Source organism: Homo sapiens, chromosome 8 (genome assembly GCF_000001405.40).
Source record: "Homo sapiens chromosome 8, GRCh38.p14 Primary Assembly".
In the NCBI taxonomy this organism is placed as follows: Eukaryota; Metazoa; Chordata; class Mammalia; order Primates; family Hominidae; genus Homo; species Homo sapiens.
The window spans coordinates 85482144-85505261 of record NC_000008.11 but is presented as its reverse complement, the minus strand read 5'-3'; the positions used below and the strand labels follow the sequence as shown (position 1 = coordinate 85505261).

General features: G+C 39.2%; 1 long non-coding RNA gene across 1 annotated transcript in view; it reads right to left on the bottom strand.

The window, feature by feature from the left end:
• Positions 1–9569, bottom strand: part of LOC105375937 (uncharacterized) — a 39068-nt gene extending 29499 nt beyond the window's left edge. The window contains exons 1-3 of the long non-coding RNA XR_929129.4: positions 9446–9569; positions 8194–8289; positions 4077–4207 (exon numbers count right to left, since the gene is read on the bottom strand). This is a non-coding gene — a long non-coding RNA (uncharacterized LOC105375937). The remainder of the gene's footprint in view (positions 1–4076; positions 4208–8193; positions 8290–9445) is intronic.

Here is a 23118-nt window from a genome sequence, read left to right as displayed (position 1 = left end):
AGGCAGAAGTTGCTCTGAGCTGAGATCATATCACCGCACTCCAGCCTGACAGACAGAGCAAGACCCTGTCTAAACAAAACAAAATGAAGGAAACCAATTATTAGTAGAAGATAATGAGAATATGGGTATTTATTTTATTTTGGATACTTTTCTAGTTTTCACTATTTATAAAACCTTTAAATAATTGACAGATGAAAGCTAGATTAAGACATACAAAGTTGAACTAAAAATCAGCTTTAATGAAAATTATTATGAATATATACTTCTGTTTTTAAATCAGATACTCATAATAAAAATATGAATAATTAAAGAAAGTTAGAAATTAGAGAAAAAGGAAAAATCAGCCAAAGCATCATAATATTAGCACCCCAGTTTATATATTTCTATTCTCACTTCTTAAATGGATTTTCATTTGGGGAGGGGCACTCAGTGTAGCACAAGTTTGTGTAAGTTTTTATTTTAAGAATATATAATTACAATTTCCATATTATTGCATAAATTTTGTAGCAATTTTTCCTACAGTTTTGTCATAATTTTAACTATTTTTAAGGAAATAGTTAACTATTTTTAAGGAAATAGTTAACTATTTTTAATTAAATATTGTACTTAACTATTCCCTGTTGAGGTTGCTTTTAGATTTATACTCTTATAAATAAGTGAATATCTTTTTTGTTAAGTTTATTTTCTGAAAATACAGATTTTTTTGGATATTTATGAGTCAAAGGATATGAAAATTACTAAGGCCCTTCATAACAGGTTTAAAGTCTTGCTCCACAAAGCCCAGTTGCTTTCTAAGAGGATTTACATTTCTACCAGCAATGTATGAGACTGTCTATTTCACCATACCCAATTCAGCATTAAATAGCATTTACTGCTATCTAATGGATAGCTAATTTTCTAGAAGAAAATTTACATTTTAATAATTATGATGGCTAACATTTACAGAGTACTGCTCTATAAGTACAGTTAAATACTTACAAACATTCATAAGATATGCCTTGCTACTGTCTGGATCTTACAGAGAATTAAAGCATCCAGTCAGCCAGCCAACAACTATAAATGAAAGAAGCTCCCGCTAAGTGCCAGACACTGTTCTGCATGCTGGTAATACAAGGATCTCACATAGCACAGGTCAGAGAAACGAGATAAACAAAACATATAAATAAGTACAATAATATCAAATAACAGTAGGTGCTTTGCAGAAAATAAAATAGGATGATACACAAGAAAGTGATGGAGGTAGGGCACTGGGGGAGCTATTTTTACTAGGATAGTAAAGGAAAATCTTAATAAAATGGCATCATTTCAGCTGAGACCTCAAATGAGAGGGAATAGCCATTTGAAAATCTCAGGGAAAATCATTCCAAGGAGAAGGAATAGCAAGTGTAAAGCCCTTGAGGCTCTGGAATGCAGGGAAAGAGAGGAGGTCAAAATGTTTAAAGAGGAAGGCAGGTCAGATCATGTAAGGCCTTGGGGGCAAGGGAGAGAGTTTGGATTTCCTTATTGATTCAATGGGAAGGCACTGAAAGCTGTTATGGAGGGGAGTATATGATTTGATTAATGCTTGTTTGAGCTCTCTGCCTCCTGTGTAGAAAATAAACTTCAGAGTAGCCAGAGTAGAGGGAGAGAGACATGCTGAGATGTTATTACAGTAGTTCGCGGAAGATATAATGATAGTTTGGATAGGGTTGCATGAAGAATGTTAGACAGAGAGAGGAATCAGATGTGAGTTGCAAGTGTTTGGCTTGAGAAACTGGATGGAAGATGATGCAATTTACTGACTTGGAGAACACTGAGAATGAAGAAGATTGCACAGACAAGCTCAGTTGGTATTTTTGGTCATATTAAAGTCTAAGATGCCTCTTAGACATCCCAGTGGCAAAGCTGAATAGACAATTGGACATGAGAGGCTGTGGTTCAGTGGGGAGGAAGGACACAAATGTGATAGTCTTCAACACGCAGGTGGCATTTGAAATGGAAATCCTGGATCACTCAGGTAGACTGTGTAGCTAGAGGAGGAACAACAAAGAGTAGGTGCATAGGGAACTCCATCGGTAGGAGGTCTGGCAGAGAAAGAAAAGCCAGCAAAGTGGGTAGCAAACCAGAAACTAAACATTGAAGCCACTGAAAAAACATTTAAACACAGAAAAAGCAGGAGTGATGAGCTGTATCAGTTGCATCATGATGTCAAGTAAGATTAGGACACAGAAGGGAGAGTTTGCTTCATTTAGATCTTTGTGATTTTTGTGTGTAGGTCTTTGTGATCTTAAATTAGTGCTATTTCAATGGTCTAGTGGAGACAAAATGCTGATTGAAGTGAACCAGGGAAAGAAGAGAATGGGGAAGTTGAGACAGCAATTATGAACTACACTTTCGAGGAGATTTGCTGTGAACAATGACATGGATTTATAGGTGAATTGGTTGACATAACTTGTCCAGGTGTGCACAGAGAGCAAGCCTTCAGATCTTTACTTGGAAACAAAAATGTTCTGACAAGCTCTTAACCAAATATACTGTTTTGATTTGTATCTAAAGAGCACTTTCTAAAAGTAATTACTTAACTGTTTCTTTAATTTTTAGAAAACGATATTACTATAGTCATTGAGACAGTTGCCTGATGTTGAGATGCTGCCAATTCCTAGATAAGAAGTCTGGAAATACTAGATAGCTGGGAGGGGCCCAAAGAATGCCAGAGTGTGGCGCAGATTGTATCACTGAAGAGATCCATGTCTATCACAGGAAGAATTAAGTGTATATTGTACACTATTGGCTTCCAATTTCCAAAAGAGAAATAATTCCCACTTCCCAACTGCATGCAATACTTTACTGTAGAAAGAGTAGAGCTAAAAATGATTTCATCATACTTTGTCTGAAAGCTTATGTATGACCAAGAAAATGATTGCTCTTCAGTTTGTATTTAAGGTCTGCCAGTTATACGTGACACAGGAAGTGAACATCACATGAAGTGGGACTGACTCAGAATAATAAAATATATGGTATCTAGGTTTGGGGATGTGATTCTTGATGTAAAACTTAAAAGGAGACTTTCAGACTGCATGTGGCTTTATTGATAACAAAAATTGAAAGGAGGAAGGGAAGGAGGGAGGGAGCAAAGGAAATTAACCAACAGTTATTGATTAGTCATGTGCCCCAGCACTATGCTAAGTACTTAAAAATGCATTATCCTTTTCAGTCCTCACAAAAGAACTTTTAAAGTTACTATCTACATTTTTCAATATGGTAAAATTGAGGCTCAGGGAGGTGAATTCCCTAAAACCACATAGGTGAATTAAAGAGCCAGTGCATGGTCTAACTAAATTCTAGTTCTAGCAATTAAATATAATACCATCATACACTAGCAAAAACTTTGTCAATCATCTGTGACATATTATGTTATTTCAAGTTTATTTTGAAAAAGAAAAATAATGGCTGGAATTCTTAGAATGGTACTCAACAATGTTCCATTCATCCTTAGATGTAATTGCTTGTCATGTGCTGTTTGTGGGAACATGTCACATAAGGGAAGAAATCCTTGCACCCCTGGCTCAAAATGGGCTTGTAATTCATTCACAAAATCTTTCTGGAACACAGAAATAGAGACTGAGTACAGTTTTGCTAATAGAAGAGACATATTTAAGTGGTCTCTTGTATAGATTTTTAAAAAATTAATTAAAAAATTTCTTCTGTGTACTCCCGGAATACTGGAAATCTCCAGCACAGAGCCCAGCACCTAATGGGTAGTGGCGATGGGAGGAAGGATCTCGGTAAATATGCATGGAAAAATGTGGTCTCTGATTACGCATATGTAGACACTTTGGATTATTTAAAGGACATAATAAGTCAGGCCACCTTAAGAGATGGGAGGTTAAGAATTTACATAAACAGACCAGACGGAAACAAAGAGCTGTCAGAGAGACCCAGACAGCTCTGAGGACTAGCTTCTTCATCCTCCCCTCTGAGTTTTGGGGTTTTTGTCTTGAAGGCTCCCTGTGCTGTGTTGTTTTCCGTTCTTTGTTACACAATCCTCTTTGTAGCCTTCAGGCTGTTTGTAAAGGAAGACTACCTGATAGGCTCACCTATTCATTGTTGTCTCTTCTGGGGAGAGATCTTGATTTCAAGTCACTTCTTGGTCCAAATTTGAGTTAGGTCTCTTCCACAATCCAATAAGTGGTCAATGGTGCTCAGAGAATAGCAGACCACTGCTTTCCTGAAATTATTGAGAAACAACTTTAGCTGGAATGGGGCCTGGCAAGGTGATTATGACCAATTGCGGAGGCTAATGCAACTCCACCTTGGATGCTAATCTGCCGTGTTGGCTTCTGATCAACCTCTGTTCCTGGAGGGCCTCTAAGATTTCCAGTTTATCCATTGCTTCTCGCGCAAAGGTATTTACTGTAAATCTTACCTTTAGGTCAAACAACCTAATATACTTCAGTTATCATACTTCAGATGTCCTACACATCCTTTTGGAATTATCCTTTCCCTGTGGTATGTAAGCCCTGGGTTGGTGGGGTAATAGCATGAGTTTCCAACATCTTGTCCCACCACCTCCCGAGATACCGACCAGACACAGCTTCTGATCATAAGTTCCTATTAACTATTTCTTTCTAAGAAACTGATCTGTCACTCCTCCTTTGGCCTCTCAGCTTCCTTGAATTTTGGGGTTGGTTTGCATAGACCTGCTCAACATGGAACACCACAGCATTAGTTTATATGATCTCTAACCTAATGATCTGATTTAATTTGCATCAACAGCAAGGAGTTTGCCTAACTCTCTGCCCAAAGCCTTTTCAATACAAGTCTAACTCATTTTTTTCCAGTCTTTGAAGAACAATGGAAAATTATATGAAGTGTTGCTTCAGAATTCTTTAAAAAAAAAACATAGTATTTGAACTCCAGATGTGCCAGAGTATTAGTTACTGAAGAAAAAAGCTTGAAAGTGAATTGTTTCTCCTTATAGAATCAATGAGTTGACACAAAACCCAATTCATGCTTACTTTATACAAAAAGTACTTTTGTCACCTAACAAGACTGTGACAGCTTTATTTTACTAAAGATTAAAGAAATTTGATGCACTGATAACAATGTCATGTTCTGACATGTATAGAAATAGCTTTGCAGCCAGGCACTGTGGTACACGCCTGTAATCCCAGCACTTTGGGAGACCGAGGTGGGTGAATCACCTGAGGTCAGGAGTTTGAGACCAGCTTGGCTAACATGGTGAAACCTCATCTCTACTAAAAATACAAAAATTAGCTGGGTGTGGTGGCAGGCACCTGTAATCCCAGCTACTTGGGAGGCAGAGATAGGAGAGTTGCTTGAACCCGGAAGGTGGAGGTTGCAGTGAGCAAAGATGGCGCCACTGCACTCCAGCCTGGGTGACAGGAGTGAAACTCCTCTCAAAAAAAAAAAAAAAAAAAAGAAGTAACTTTGCTCTCATTGTAAAATAACAAGTCTTATAACTATAACTTTATATGGATAACAAACATACAGGTGAAACACAGGACATGAACGAGACGCACATTGCTTCCTGAAAAATGAGGTTTGTAACAACATACATTTGAAGACATCAGGGACATGAGTGCAGCTTGATAAAGTGTTTAATATTTCTAACTTGGGACCTCCACAAATATTCTGTAAAAATTTTCGCCAATCGTGAAAGATTTACATATAATATAAACACATGGTACATTAAAATGTGCTTTCTTTCTCCTTTTAAAATTTATATTGAATCTGTCACAGTAATTAAAACATGCCATATATATTTTATGAAGTTTTTTAACAGGAAGCAACAATGAAATAAAGTGTAGGCCCAATTAAGACACGTTTAGCAATTAGTGAAGAATAAAGTTTCCCTTTGTCATGTAACACAAATTTTTGTGCGGAAAGATATTTTGAATGGTGTTAAGGGTTGAATTGTGTCTCTCCCCCTCAAAATAATATAAGGTTGGAGTCCTATTCATTGCCGATGGAATTAGTTAAGATGAGCTCATCTTAAGTAATGGAGTAGAGTGGGCATTCCATGGTATAATCCAATATGACTGGTGTCTATAAAAAGAGGATATTTGGACATAGATACACAGGGAGCATGCCCTGTGGAAATTGGTGGTATGCTGCCACAAATCAAGTAACTGCCAGAAACTAGGAGACAAGTCTGGGACAGAGCCTTCTCTAGTACCTTCACAGGTCTGGCCAACACCTTCATCTTGGTCCCAGGGTCCAGAGTTGCAAGACAATAAACTATTGTTTAAGCCACTCAGTTTGTGGTACATTGTTACAGACACTCTAGCAAACTAATACATGGTCAACCACAGTTGGTAAGTGGATATAGGAATCCCCTCTCACTCAGTGAATCCATAAGAAGGTTAAGCTTATATGCTGAGGAGGAGCAGAGTTAGACAATAGCCCAAGTATCTGTTAGAATGAATTAGTGTATATAAGAGCTGAAAATCTACCTGCCTTTGAAAAAGATACAAGAACACTGACCTCACTGAGATTCAACCCTGTAAAAATGCATAAACTGGGGTGATATGTGATTGAAACCAGATTGCATCATAAAAGGGAAAGCACCAATAGGGAAGATGATGCCTGGACCCCAAGCTGTCCTCAGTGTGAAGGCCAAATGGGGCCTGCGCTGTGGGAGCACTCGAGAGACAATGACGTGTGTGTGTGCATGCGTGTGTGTGTGTGTGTGTGAAAGAATTGTGCATGCCAGCATTTAGAAGCACAGACAGTTCTAAGCCAATACATTATAATATAGATAATATAGAGAGAGACAAGAAGGGATTCTACTCACCTCTTTTTCTTTTTTTTTTTAATTTCTTGTGTCTTTAAAACAATTTTTTTTATTTCTGTAGGTTTTTGAGAAACAGGTGGTATTTAGTTACATGAGTAAGTTCTTTAGTGGTGATCTGTGAGATTTCTGTGCACCCATCACCAGAACAGTATACACTGAACCTGATTTGTAGTCTTTATTCCTCACCCTCTTCCCACCCTTTCCCCCTGAGTCCCTAAAGTCTATTGTGTCATTTGTATGCCTTTGTGTTCTTATAGCTTAGCTCCCACTTATGAGTGAAAACCATATGTTTGGTTTTCTATTCCTGAGATACTTCACTTAGAATAATAATCTCCTTTCCCATCCAGGTTGCTGCAAATGCCATTAATTCATTCCTTTGTATGGATGAGTAGTATTTTATCATATATATGTATTTATCATATATATATTTATCATATACACACACACACACACGCACACACACACCTCAATTTCTTTATCCACTCGTTGATTGATGGGCATTTGGGATGGTTCCACATTTTTGCAATTGTGAATTGTGCTCACCTCTCAAGAGCATCACAACTTGTGTGAGTTGAAGGAGGTATGCACTAAGGCCATGAGACTATAAGGCTCAGCTAGAAGCCCTGGCAATGGTGACAGTGCTACCAGAGATGTGAGTGGATCCCCAGCCCCAGGACAATGGCAGATCTCCCTTTCCCTCACTGGTAGCAGGAGTGATGGGAGGAGACAGAATCAGAGACATTTCAGGGGACCATCACCTGTGGAATTTGCCCACAAGAAATGTCTGTGACTTCCTACTTTATCAGCAGGCAATAATAGTGAATTATGCCCAATGAATGTTTCTTGAAGAGATGTATATACCTCTCAGATCTGAAGAAATCTCTGGAGAGAAAGAATCTTTCGCAGATCAGACTTTCTTGTGAGTCTATCAGGTAGGATCAGAGCATCAAAAATGTAAAACTCAATGTAAATGTTTTCTGATTTGTATGCAAATTTAGATATAGCAATCTCACTAGTCTACATGTAAAGTCAATTTCTTGTCTTCTATACAAATATAAAATTAATGATTTCAAGGACAATGGCATTTTTAGAAAACATATATTATGTTCTCATGGCTATAGCCACCATTTTGTAGTTACTCAGTGAATTTACCTGAGAGGTAGGTAAATGAAAACTAAGCAAGACATTGAATTGCTTGCTACTAGCACAGTAGAAAAGGCTATGAAAATGCTTGGGAGTGTCCCAAGAAAAGTGCTTTTTGAACTCTACAGGATCAGCTGAAAAAATAAATGGTGGAGCCTATCAGCCCCTGACAGCACTGTCTACCAAGGAAGGTATCAGATACTTGTGTCTTCACAAACTCATTCTAAGGACTGTCATTCCACAGGGACCATTACCTGCTAAATGACTTCCATTCTGGGGTGGGTGTTCCTTGACCAATACCCAGAAGAATCAGGCTTTCCACTAGGCTTGCAGCATGACCAAAGTTTGTTCTGAAGTAAAAGAAAAATTCAACATGGTTGTTGGAGGCAGCCATATATTCACTTATTTGGTTACACATTTCCAGAAGCCTGGAAAAAAACCCCAATTGCCACATCGTGAAGTGAATTTCTGCATGGTTGATTCAATGAACTTTTAATAACCTCAGATAGCATTTACTGGTTTAAGTTTTACCTAAATTATCTTTTTTAAATCCTCAAAACAACCCTTAAGAAATAGGTACCTTTATCATTTCCATTGAATGGATGAGGAAACTGGAGCCCAGGAAAGTGATAGCTAAGCCAGTGTTTAATTGTCAGCGGTCTGGCTGACCTCACATCTTACTGTACCTGAGTCAGCCAGAAAGAGGCTGATGTGATCCTTAAGTAAGACTGTTGTTTGATTGGAAAATATATCTTATTTTGAGTATATTTATAAGAATAACCATTTATTGAGCACTTACTATGAGCCAGACTACACTGGTGCTCTTTGTGCATAATTCCATTTACTTCTCACATTGACTCTCTGAAATGTATCACTCTCTTCATTTTATACATGAAGGAGCAGGTCTGAGTCACTGATTCATTAAGTAACACATTCAAGGTCACATAGTTAAAATACAGGCCTCTCAGTCGGATTCTAAAGACTACATTTCCCACTCTAACTTCCTTCTTTTACTAAAAAAATTCTCATTTAATCAGTTTCTGATATCTTACCTATTATCCCTGATTAATAATAATGCTGCATATGAAATATTTTTCCTCAAATATGATATTTGTCTTTTCATATTACATTAGACTAAGATAAGCTGAGAAACTGCTCTCGGTTCGTTTCACCACAGTGGTCAGTAAGTAAAACAAGTTAAAATGCCAGTCTGAAATAGATTAATCATCTCCCTTTCAAAAAATAGAAATTAAAGCAAAAGTGAGAGAAGGGGGAGAGGGAATCCTGGCAATATGGAGTTTGTATCCAATACCACCTTGCCCAGGAGCAGTGGAATAGTTCTACAGGTTCCACTGGGGGAAATCAAGTGTGGCTTACTTGATTCATACAAATTTTTAAAATATAATCTGTAATGTATTTGGGAAGGCAATGCAATAGGAAGCAATTGGATTTTATTTTCTGATTACATAAAAGCTTTCTACACTTTGAAATAAATGGAGAACATACTAGATATTTATCCATCTACAATTCACTCGTTCCTTTACTCAGCAATATTTCACAGAATGATCAGGAAAGGCATGCATTCTTGGGGCATTATTCAAGAGGGCAGCATAGAGAGTCTTCTATACCTAGGTAAAAGAGAGGAAAGATGACACATCAAGTCACTCATAGCTGTTTACAAGCAGGAGCCTGGTTTGAGTTAGACTGATACTGAAGGCCCTTCATTTTTAGTCACTTTCGGAGCCTTACTAATCATAGTTGGGATTTTTTGAGTGCTTTCAAAGCATGACAGTTTGTCTCTTACCTGGATTAGTTCACAAAAATCTTATGTGTTAGGTAGTATTATAATCCTCATTTACAGATGAGAAAAAAAGAGGTTTAAAGAGATTAAATAACTGGCCCCAATTCGTACAGCTAAGAGACAAAAAGCCAGGCATTACACCTAGACAATCTGACCCAGAACTCACTGTGGTCAACCACAACATTTGTCACCATTAAATCCAGGTCATCTCGATGCTACATCTTATTTAAGGTCTTATCCATCTTTTTAAGTTAGATTTGTATATATCAGTTTGTTTTGTGCAAAATATGACTACTTTCAAATGGCAGGGAACAAATGAATAATAAAATAGGTGATAATATAAAGTAAATTACTTTATATGGCTTTATATGACTCCAGTCCCCCCATGCACATTTAACTTTTACAAAATTTGTGATAAAATATATTTAATAAACAATTTACCATTTTAACCATTTTTAAACTTACAGTTTGGTGGTATTAAGTACATTCACATTGTTGTACAACCATCACCAACATCCATCTCCAACTTCTCATTACACTTGAATTTAAAACAAATTTATCTATTCATGCAGCAGTGCTATTGAAGTCCAGCTGAACCTCTGCTCTGAGCCAGGTGCTGGACAAAGTCTGGCCCAATTCACTTTCTCAAATTCCCCTTACAGGGCTGGCTGGCCCTGCCTGATGAGCCTTAATCCTTATAGTTTGGCCACCAAAACCAGTAGTTAATTGAAAGGGTGGGGATGGGGGGATGGTTTGATACAGTTAAAGAACAGGCCCTGGGCCATCAAGTGTCATCCTTCACGTGGTGCTGTAGAGAGGAAGTGAACACTAAAGCTTGGGCTTGCATCTCCTTTTTGCCTCATTTCTTGTGGGATTTGGGCATATTTCCTATCCTCTTTGAGCCCCCAAGTCTCCGTTTGTAAAACGGGAATAATGTCAGATGGGTGCAGGGGCTCACGCCTATAATCCCAGCACTTTGGGAGGCTGAGGCGGGCGGATCAGCTGAAGTCAGGAGTTCGAGACCAGCCTGGCCAACATGGCAAAACCCTGTCTCTACTACAAATACAAAAAAAATAGCTGGGCATGGTGGCACGTGCCTGTAATCCCAACTACTAGGGAGGCTGAGGCAGGAGAATCGCTTGAACCCAGGAGGCTGAGGTTGCAGTGAGCCGAGATTGTGCCATTGCACTCCAGCCTGGGCAACAAGAGCGAAACTCCATCTCAAAAAAAAAAAAAAAAAAAAAAGGAATAACATTTATTTTGTTGAGAATATGACAGATAATACAAAAATGATTGCTGACAAGAAAAATAAATATTTGTAATTCTCCTGCCACCTTTATGGAGAGACCTTGAAACTGGAAGAAATTACCTCTGCTAGCCTTTAGCGTGCTTAAGTGTGGTAAAGTAACAAGAGACAGCTATGTGTATGTGCACGTGTGTGTGTGCATTCACATGTGCTTGAGTTTCTCGGTGTACGTATGAGAGTGTGTAAATGTTTATTGGGAGCGAGGAGGAAGAGAAGGTGTAACTAAATTGCTCTGTGTTAGAAATAGAGAAGAAAATGAGCCCCAAGGGAGGCTCCAGGGACAGGGAACTGCAGCCAGGGGAGATTCCAAGTCCTTGAAGGGGAAGGAGAGAGGATGATGAATGGGGATTTGGGCCATGAAACGCTGCACACTGTGTGATATAAAACCTCATTCCTTTTTCATGGCAACTGTAGTCTACATTGTTCTGTAATACTTACATTTTCTATTTTGGGGGCTATATGGTTAGAAGGTGATGTTGGAAGAGATGAATCAGTAAATCCTGCTTCAACATTGGCTCCTGAAGGAACCAGGTGGCTCATCAAGGTAGCCATGTATAAAATATCTTACATATCATAAACACACATATTGCCAGCCTTTATCTCACTCTGTCGCCAGCCTGGAGTGCAGTGGCGCTATCTCGGCTCACTGCAACCTCCGATTCTCTGGTTCAAGTGATTCTTCTGCCTCAGCCTCCTGAGTAGCTGGGATTACAGGCACGTGCCACCACGTCCAGCTAGTCTTTTTGTATTTGTAGTAGAGATGGGGTTTCGCCATGTTGGCCAGGCTGGTCTCAAACTCCTGACTTCAGGTGATGCGCCTGCCTTGGCCTCCCAAAGTGCTGGGATTATAGGCTTGAGGCACCGCGCCCATCCCCCGTGCACATTTCTATAGGCTGAAAGGCATCACTGTACCTGCCAGAACTTTCCAAGCATGCAGACTTGAATTCTTCAGAAAGTAGAAACACAGGTGGAGTGAAAAGAGGAAATAAATGACAGTCCAGTGACTGAGCAGTAGATGGACCCCTTCTGGGAGGGCAGGTTGCCCTCTGCCAAACATGTCAGAATCATTCTTCTAAGAGAAGGTGAAAATACTTCTCTAAAAACATCAGGGACAATCTTTCTTCCAAAGACCAAAGGTATGTGGGAGAAATCTTCAATGTCTGGGTCCTGGTTTGGAGTATGCAGGGTGCCCAGGACTGTGCTGGACTCACTCTCTCCACTTGCACCTGCAGGCTCCTGTTAGCTGAGGACTCCTTCTGTTCCTCAACCTCTTTCTGGGCATCTCTACTTGAAAAACAGATCCTTGGTGGTGGGGGGCCATGCTGTTCTACAGAATGTAACTCCATCAGGGGTGCTGCGTCCAGTCGCAAGCCAACAGTTGAGATTCTCCCACAAGTCCCACAGAGGGACCATCTCTGCCCCATCTCTGTTTCCTACACAAGGAAATTGTGCACTGTTCTATTTGTGGAACATGAACCTTTCAGTATCAGAGCCTTCAGAGTTCTTTTTTGTTTCATTCCATAAAACAAATTGTTAAAGATACCAGATGAAAAGTAATAATGTATTTTTTGGATTAAGTTGGTGGATAGGAGGCAGGACTAGCTTGCAGCTCCTGCTCAGGACAGAGCAGGGTGTGGAGACTCACACTGTAGCAGGATGAGCCGCAGACAAAACTCCTCAGACACCAGATTAAAGAAGGAAGAGGTTTTTATTCAGCCAGGAGCGTCAGCAGACTCGCGTCTTAAGAGCTCAGCTCCCCAAAAAAGAAATCCTTGGCCTTTTTAAAGGCTTACAACTTTAAGGGGTCCACGCAAAATGGTCGCGATACATCAAGCAAGCGTGGGAAACGTGACTGGGGGCTACATGCAACAGCTAACAGAAAAAAAGTTTCACAATGCTTTTTTCATACAGTGTCTGGAATTTACAGATAACACAAGCAGTTTAGGTCAGGGGTTGATGTTATTATTATTACTTTTTTTAACTCCTAGGGCCAGGTGGTGGCGCCCAGGTTGTCTGGCTATTTATCTTACTTTTGTTTTTTTCCAACTTTTTGCTTTTTCTCTCCTCCTGTCTTGTGAACTAGGCAAGGTAGGGGGAGGAGGACAGCAGGAGTAGTAGTGGTCTCCTTCCTTAACATCATGAACTTTTGCTCCAAGAGCTACCACGGGAACATGCCAGGAAAGCTGAGAGAATCCACAGACCCTCTGAAGGAACTGGATCACTGCTGCAGGCTCCCTGAGATGCCGAAAAACTATGAGTCTGCTTTCTTTCTCAACAGGGAGGCCTGTGGTCTGGGGCAAGTTCTCAGCCCTGGTCACTGGCTGCCTGGAAATAGACTCGGTGCTGCTGGGGGGTCACGGTGGGGGTGAGACTGGCCTTTAGGACTGTGGTCTGTGTGGGAGTGGAGTGAGACCTTTGACTGACAGCTCTCCCCCATTTTGCCTGGTGAATTGTATGACTCAGCAGTGGCAGCCATAATCCTTCTGGGAATATAACTCCATTGGCCTGGGAACCACACCCCCATTTCCCATAGCCACCACAGCAAGCCCCACCCAAGAAAAGTCTGTGCTCAGACATGCCTATCCCTGCCCCCACCTGGTGGTCTTTCTGTACCCACCCTGTTAACTGAAGACAAAGGTCATAATCTCTTGGGAATGCTACGGCCCTGCCCATTGCCTAAGAAGCCTGAATACTTAACCACATGTCCCCAGGGCGAGTTTGCAGCATCCCTATAGGATTGCAGCTGATGCACTCTTGAAAGTGCCACCTTTTGGCTGAAGGCCAACCAACACAAAACCAGTACACTAAACAAAAACACAACCAGGGACCCTCGCAGAGTCCTCTGCACTCCCCTGCTACCTCCACTGGAACAGGTGCTGGTATCCATGGCTGCAAGACCTGAAGACAGATCACATCACAGGGCTCTTTGCAGACACTCCTCAGTGCCAGCCCAGAACCAGGTAGCTCTGCTGGGTGGCTAGACCCAGAAGAGCAAAAACAATCACTGCAGTTCGGCTCATAAGAAGCCCCATTCCTAGGGAAACAGGGAGAACACCACATCAAGGAAGCACCCCATGAGACAAACGAATCTGAACGGCAGCCCTTGAATCCCAGATCTTCCCTCTGATATAGTCTACCCAAATGAGAAGGAACCAGAAAAACAATTCTGGTAATAGAACAAAAGAACAAAACAAGGACTTTTAACACCCCCAAAATATCATAGCAGATCCAAATCGAGACAAAATCTCCAAATTGCCAGAAAAAGAATTCAGAAGGTTGATTACTAAGTTAATCAAGAACACCAGAGAAAGGTGAAGTCCAACTTAAAGAAATCAAAAACATGATACAGGATATGAAAAGAAAATTCTTCAGTGAAATAGATAGCATAATTGAAAAACAGTCACAACTTCTGGAAATCAAGGACACACTTAGAGAAATGCAAAATGCACTGAAAAGTCTCAGCAATAGAATCGAACAAGCAGAAGAAAGAATGCCAGAGCTTGAAGACAAGGCTTTCCAATAAACCCAGTCCATCAAAGACAAAAATTTTTTTAATGAACAAAGCCTCCAAGAAGTTTGAGACTATGTTAAACATCCAAAACTAAGAATAATTGGTGTTCCCCAGGAAGAAGAGAAATCTAAAAGTTTGGAAAACATATTTGAGGGAAAAATTAAGGAAACCTTCCCCAGCCTTGCTAGAGATCTAGACATCCAAATACAAGAAGCTCAAAGAACACCTGGGAAATGTATCACAAAAAGATCATCACCTAGGCTCATAATCATCAGGTTACCTAAAGTCAAGACAAAGGAAGGAAACTTAAGAGCTGTGAGATAAAAGCATCAGGTAACCTATAAAGGAAAATGTCTCACGTGTCCATGTGAAGAGACCACCAAACAGGCTTTGCGTGAGCAACATGACTGTTTATTTCACCTGGGTGCAGGCGGGCTGAGTCCGAAAAAGGAGTCAGCAAATGGTGGTGGATTATCGTTAGTTCTCATAGGTTTTGGGATAGATGGTGGAGTTAGGAGCAATGTTTTGAAGGCCGGGGATGGATCTCACAAAGTACATTCTCAAGGGTGGGGAGAATTACAAAGAACTTTCTTAAGGGTGGGGGAGATTACAAAGTACACTGATCAGTTAGGTTGGGGCAGAAATAAATCACAATGGTGGAATGTCATCAGTTAAGGCTATTTTCACTTCTTTTGTGGATCTTCAGTTGCTTCAGGCCATCTAGATGTATATGTGTAGGTCACTGGGGATATGATGGCCTAGCTTGGGCTTAGAGGCCTAACAGAAAACCTTTCAGATTAACAGCAGATCTCTCAGCAGAAACCCTACAAACTAGAAGGGATTGGGTGCTATCTTTAGCCTCCTTAAACAAAACAATTATCAGTCAAGAATTTTGTATCCAGCAAAACTAATCTTCATTAATGAAGGAAAGATACAGTCTTTTCCAGACAAACAAATGCTGACAGAATTTGCCACTACCAAGCCAGCACTACAAGAACTGCTAAAAGGAGCTCTAAGTCATGAAACAAATCCTTAAAAATACACAAAAATAGAATCTCCTTAAAGCATAAATCACACAAGACCTATATATCAATAACACCATGAAAAAAAACCAATGAGGGCAACAAATAGCATGATGACTAGAATAGTACCTCACAACTCAATGCTAACATTGAATGTAAATGTCCTAAATGCTCCACTTAAAAGATACGGAATGGTAGAATGGATGAGAAATCACCAACCAAGTTTCTCCTGTCTTCAGGAGACTTACCTAACACATAAGGAGTCACATAAACTTAAGGTAAAGGGGTGGAAAAAGATATTCCATGTAAATGAATACCAAAAGCAAGCAGGAGTAGCTATTCTTATATCAGATAAAACAAACTTTAAAGCAACAGAGATAAAAAAGACAAAGAAGGACATAATATAATGATAAAAGGACTAGTCCAACAGGAAAACATCACAATTCTAAATATATAGGCACCTAACACTGGAGCTCCGAAATTTATAAAGCAATTACTACTAGACCTAAGGAATGAGTTAGATGGCAATACAATAATACTGGGGGACTCCACCGACAGCACTAGATAGATCATCAAGATAGAAAGTCAACAAAGAAATGGTGGACTTAAATTATATCCTATACAAAATGGACTTAACAGATATTTAAAGAACATTCTACCCAGCAACTGCCGAATATACATTCTATCCATCAGCACATGGAACATTCTGCAAGACAGACCATATCGATAGGCCACAAAACAAGTCTCAGTAAATTTGAGAAAATTGAAATTCTATCAAGTACTCTCTCAGACCACAGTGGAATAACAATGGAAATCAACTCCAAAAAGAACCATCAAAACCACGCAAATACATGGAAATTAAATAACCTGCTCCTGAATGATCATTCGGTCAACAATGAAATCAAGAAACTAAAAAATTCTTTGAACTCAATGATAATAGTGACACAACCTATCAAAATCTCTGGGATGCAGCCAAAGCAGTGCTAAAAGGAAAGTTCATAGCATTAAATGTCCACATCAAAAAGTCTGAAAGAGCACAAACAGACAATCTAAAGTCACACCTCATGGAACTGGAGAAAAAATCCAAACCCAAACCCAGCAGAGAAAAGAAATAACCAAGATCAGAGCAGAACAAAATGAAATTGAAACAAACAAACAAACAAAATAAAATAACACAAAACACAGATGAAACAAAAAGCTGGTTCTTTGAAATGATAAATAAAATTGATAGACCATTAGTGAGATTAACTAAGAAAAGAAGAGAGCAAATCCAAATAAGCTCAATTACAAACAAAATGACAGATATTACAACTGATACCAAAGAAATACAAAAGATTATTATTCAAGGCTACTATGAACAACTTTGCATGCATAAACTAGAAAACCTAGAGGAGGTGGATAAACAACGCTCCTAGATTAAACCAGGAAGAAATGCAAACTTTGACCAGACCAATAACAAGCAGCAAGATTGTAATGGTAATAAAAAAATTGCCAACAAAAAAAATCCAGGACCAGATGGATTTACAGCTGAATTCTACCAGACATTCATAGAAGAATTGGTACCAATCCTATTGACACTATTCCAAAAGAAGAGAAAGAGGGAATCCTCCTTAAATCATTCTATGAAGCAAGTATCATCCTAATATCAAAACCAGGGAAGGACATAACAAAAAAAGAAAACTACAGACCAATATCCCAGATGAACATAGATGCAAAAATCCTCCACAGAATACTAACAAGCCAAATCCAACAGCATATCAAAAAGATAATCCACCATGATCAAGTGGGTTTCATAGCAGAGATGCAAGGATGGCTTAACATACATAAGTCAATAAATGTGATACACCACATAAACGGAATTAAAAACAAAAATCACATGATCATCTCAATAGATGCAGAAAAAGCATTTGACAAAATCCAGCATTGCTTTATTATTAAAACCCTCAGCAACATCAGAATAGAAGGGACATACCTTTAGGTAATAAAAACCATCTACGATACACCCACAGCCAACATTATACTGAATGAGGAAAAGTTGAAAGCTTTCCACCTGAGAACTGGAACAAGACAAGGATGCCCACTTTCACCACTTCTGTTAAACTTGGTACTGGAAGTCCTCGCCAGAGCAATCAGACAAGAGAAAGAAATAAAGGGCATCCTAATCGGTGAAGGGGAAGTCAAACTGTCACTGTTTGCTGATGATATGATCGTATACCTAAAAATCCCTAAAGACACCTCCAAAAAGCCACTAGAACTGATAAAAGAATTCAGGAAAGTTTCAGGATGCAAGATTAATATACACAAATCAGTAACTCTGCTATACACCAACAGCAACCAAGCTGAGAATCAAATTGAGATATCTCAACCTCTTCACAATAGCTAATAAACAAACAAATAAAAAAAAAACTTAGGAATATACCTAACCAAGGACATGAAAGACCTCTACAAAGAAAACTACAAAACACTGCTGAAAGAAATCATAGATAATGCAAACAAATGGAAATACAGCCCATGCTCATGGATGGGTAGAATCAATAGTGTGAAAATGACCATACTGCCAAAAGCAATCTACAAATTCAATGCAATTCCCATCAAAATACCACCATCACTCTTCACAAAACTAGAAAAAAAAAAGACCTAAAATACATATGGAACCAAAAAAGAGCCCACATAGCCGAAGCAAGACTAAGCAAAAAGAATAAATCTGGAGGCATCACATTACCTGACTTCAGACTATGCTATAAGGCCATAGTAGCCAAAATAGCTTGGTACTGATATAAAAATAGGCCCATAGACCAATGGAACTGGATAGAGAACCTAGAAATAAAGCCAAATACTTACAGCCAACTGATCTTTGACAAAGCAAACAAAAATATAAAGTAGGGAAAGGACACCCTATTCAACAAATGGTGCTGGGATAATTGGCAAGCCACATGTAAAAGAATGAAATGGGAACCTCATCTCTCACCCTATAAAAAATCAACTCAAGATGGATCAAATACCTAATCTAATACCTGAAACCATAAAGATTCTAGAAGATAACATGAAAAACCCTGCTAGACATTGGCTTAGGCAAAGACTTCATGACAAAGAACCCAAAAGCAAATGCAACAAAAACAAAAGATAAATAGTTAGGACTCAATTAAACTAAAAAGCTTTTGCACAGCAAAAGAAATAATCAGCAGAGTTAACAGACAACCCACAGAGTGGGAGAAAATCTTCAGAATCTATACATCTGACAAAGGACTAATATCCAGAATCTACAAAGAACTCAAACAAATCAACAAGAAAAAAGCAAATAATCCCATCAAAAAGTGGGCTAAGGACATGAATAGACAATTCTTAAAAGAGGAATTACAAATGGCCAGTAAGCATATGGAAAAATGCTCAGCATCACTAATTATCAGGGAATACAAATCAAAACCACAGTGTAATACCATCTCACTCCTGCAAGAATGGCCATAATCAAAAGATCAAAAAATAATAGATGTTGGCATGGATGCAGTGTAAAGAGGACACTTTTATACTGTCGGTGGGAATGTAAAGTAGTACAATTACTATGGAAAACTGTGGAGATTCCTTAAAGAACTAAAAGTAGATCTACCATTTGATCTTGCAATCACACTACTAATTATCTACCCAGAGAAAAGTCATTATATGAAAAAGATATTTGCACATGCATGTTTATAGCAGCACAATTTGCAATTGCAAAAATATGAAACCAGCCCAAATGCCCATCAATCAACAACTGGATAAAGAAAATGTGATATATATATATTCCATGGTATGTGTGTCACAAAGGTATGTATGGGTATGTGTGTCACAGAGGTACGTATGGGTATATATATATATGTAGTATTACACGGTATGTGTGTCACAGAGGTATGTATGGGTGTATATATATATGAGCTGTAGCAAATAAAGCTATATATATATATATATATATATATATATGCATACATACCTCTGTGACACACATACCATGGAATACTACTCAGCCAAAAAAAGAATGAAATAATGGCATTTGCAGCAAACTGGATGGAATTGGAGACTATCATTCTAAGTGAAGTAACTCAGAAATGGAAAACCAAACATCATATGTTCTCACTCATATGTGGGAGCTAAGCTATGAGGACACAAAGGCATAAGAATGATACACTGGACTTCGTAGACTCAGGGAAAAGGGCAGGTCAGTGGTGAGGGATAAAATACTAAACGTTGGGTACAGTGTACACTGCTCAGGTGATGGATGCACCAAAATCTCAGAAATCACCACTAAAGAACTTATTCATGTCACGACCTGTTCCCCAAAAATCTATTGAAATTAAAAATTAAAAATTAAAAAAATAAAATAAAAGTAATGATGCTACCTTTGTTAAACATATGGAAGCACTATAGATTACTTATAGTAGAAGCAGAGGTCAGGGGCGGAGAGGAGATGGAGAAAGGAGAAATAGAAGTTGAACTTCTAGATTTTACCAAGTGGGCTAAAGAAATCTCACTGAGTCTTTGGCAGCAGCATATTGCTAAGTGTAACATGGGTCTTAATTTTGAAATATTTTCTGATGGCCCTTCTCCTGTTGTAAAACCAATTTTCTTTCTGTGCATTTTGTCTGCTATTATGACTCTGGGGAAGGCGCCAGGTGAATGCTGCTTTCAGAAAGAAACAGGGTACAAGAGAATATGCCTCCACCCAGGGAAGAATTACACAAGGACAAACTAACCTTTTCTGACCCTGTGTGAAGAAGGAGAGAGAAGAATTAAGCAAAGATGTCAGGTACCAGTGTCCTTTTTGCCCTCATTCTTTAAGGGTGCAATCTGGGTGATGAGGAAAAGCAAGGAAACTGGTTCTTCTTCAGAAGATAGGTTGCCTCTGTGTGATTCTTCCTGTGTGACAGAGGCTTCCCTTTTACTGTTTCTTTCTGGAAACAAGATTCACCTGGACCCCTCCCCAGGGTCATAAATAAAGAGCACTAGACTTTGCAACTAGAGGCAATGGTGGGGATAAGCCTTCAGTTATTAGTACCTCCAAAGACCAGGTGGAACAGACAGAACACCAGCAGACACAGATGGAGCCAGGGCTAGCCTAGGACACCCCACAACAGAGGCTAGCAAGGATCTAGGGGGAATTATACAGATCCTGGGCCCTCTCCTCTGTCACCCAGACACCATCTGTGTGGGCTGGTATGAGTGGGGAATGAAAACCTAAAAAAAAAACTGCTGAAACCTGAACAGACTGAAATGCCCTTTACTGACAGGTTTTAATTGCCAGCCACCCTGCCACCACTGAGTGGGGACTGGAGACGAGGGTGGTCCCAAGGAAGATGAGATAAGCTGTAGCAAATAAAGTGCAATGATCCAGCCTGGGCAACATAGTGAGACCCTGTCTCTACTAAAAATACAAAAAAATAGCCAGGTGTAGTGCTGCACACCTGTGGTCTCAGGTACCAGGGAGGCTGAGGTAGGAGGATCACTTCAGCCCTGGAGGAAGAGGTTGCAGCAAGCTGAGATCAAGCCATTGTGCTATTGTAGTCCAGCCTGGGCCACAGAGTGAGATCCTACCTCAAAGAAAAAAATAAGAGCAACAATCCTGGGTCTCACTCTCTACATATACCCAGGACCAGAGAGGTTGAGAAGAGCTGGGATTCAAAACGAATAATCAAACTAAGCACAATTCTTTAGGAAAACAGTTGGGAATGTAAGTTGTTTTGGTTACTTGATCTGCAAAGGTACCAAAACAATTCAGTGGGGAAAGGATAGTCTTTTCTACAAATGGTGCTGGGAAAGTTGGATCCTCAGGCCAAAAAACTGAACTTAAATCCTTACCTCACACCATATACAAAAGTTAACTCAAATTGGCTCTTAGACCTGTGATCTGCTAGAAAACACAGAATAAAATCTTTGTAAGCTTGGGTTAGGTAAAGATCTAAGGTGAGTTTAGGAAATTTTCTATCTAAAGCAACAAGGACTTTTTATTCCCTGACATGTAGAACCTGAGTTATGTGTTCTATTTGGTTTTCCAGAATAACTCATCAGCCAAAGACTCCATGGTCAAGGCACAGAGCTAAATCCAGAAAAGCATAATAGTAAGAGATTTTTATTTCGTTTATTCACTCTTTCCTATCTGTAATAGTTGTATAATTCATCTTTTATTTGTTTGTTTGTTTGTTTAGAGACAGGGTCTCACTCTATCACCAAGACTGGAGTACAGTGATGCAATCATAGCTTACTACAGCCTTGAATGCCTGGGCTTATGTGATCCTTCTGCCCGAGACATCCAAATAGCTATGACTATAGGTATGCAACACCACACTCAAATAATTTTTACATTTTTTGTAGAGATGAAGCCTCGCTATGTTGCCTAGGCTGGTCTCAAACTCCCAGCCTAAGGCAATCATCCTGCCTCAGCCTCCCAAAGTACTGGGAATACAGTAGTGAGCCACCATGCTCAGCTTAATTTCTCTTTTTAAAATTCAAATTATTCTTTCACTTCTGGATATCACTAGAATTCCCTTTTTGAATAAAATGAACTTTTATTTATTTTTTTCCCAAGGGGCTTATATTGATTCAGTGTGCACACTCTTCCCCCTTCTCTACCTTGCTACTTTTAATGTAATCATTTCTCTTGCAGGATTAATCTTCATAGGATTGTCAGGAAGATCACATGAATGCTCAGACAGCACTTAAAACCGTACTTGGCATAATAAGTAAATGACTTCCAGAGTTTTTCCTTTTCTGGAGACTTTTTCAATTATCAGTAAGCCAATTAAGATGGCTCATTATTAATAAGGAATTATTGTGAATTGTAAAAGTAGACATTTGTTCCTCCATTACTGTATTACCCACCACTCAGTACACAATAAAATAACCCAGAATATTTTGACAAACCTGACAAAAACAAGAAATGGGGAAAGGATTCCCTATTTCATAAATGGTGCTGGGAAAACTGACTAGCCATATGTAGAAAGCTGAAACTGGATCCCTTCCTTACATCTTTTACAAAAATTAATTCAAGATGGATTAAAGACTTAAATGTTAGGCCTAAAACCATAAAAACCGTAGAAGAAAACCTAGGCAATACCATTCAAGACATAGGCATGGGCAAGGACTTCATGTCTAAAACACCAAAAGCAATGGCAACAAAAGCCAAAATTGACAAATGGGATCTAATTAAACTAAAGAGCTTCTGCACAGCAAAAGAAACTACCATCAGAGTGAACAGGCAACCTACAAAATGGGAGAAAATTTTTGCAACCTACTCATCTGACAAAGGGCTAATATCCAGAATCTACAATGAACTCAGACAAATTTCAAGAAAAAAACAAACAACCCTATCAAAAAGTGGGCAAAGGATATGAACAGACACTTCTCAAAAGAAGACATATATGCAGCCAAAAGACACATGAAAAAATGCTCACCATCACTGGCCATCAGAGAAATGCAAATCAAAACCACAATGAGATACCATCTCACACCAGTTAGAATGGCAATCATTAAAAAGTCAGGAAACAACAGGTGCTGGAGAGGATGTGAAGAAAT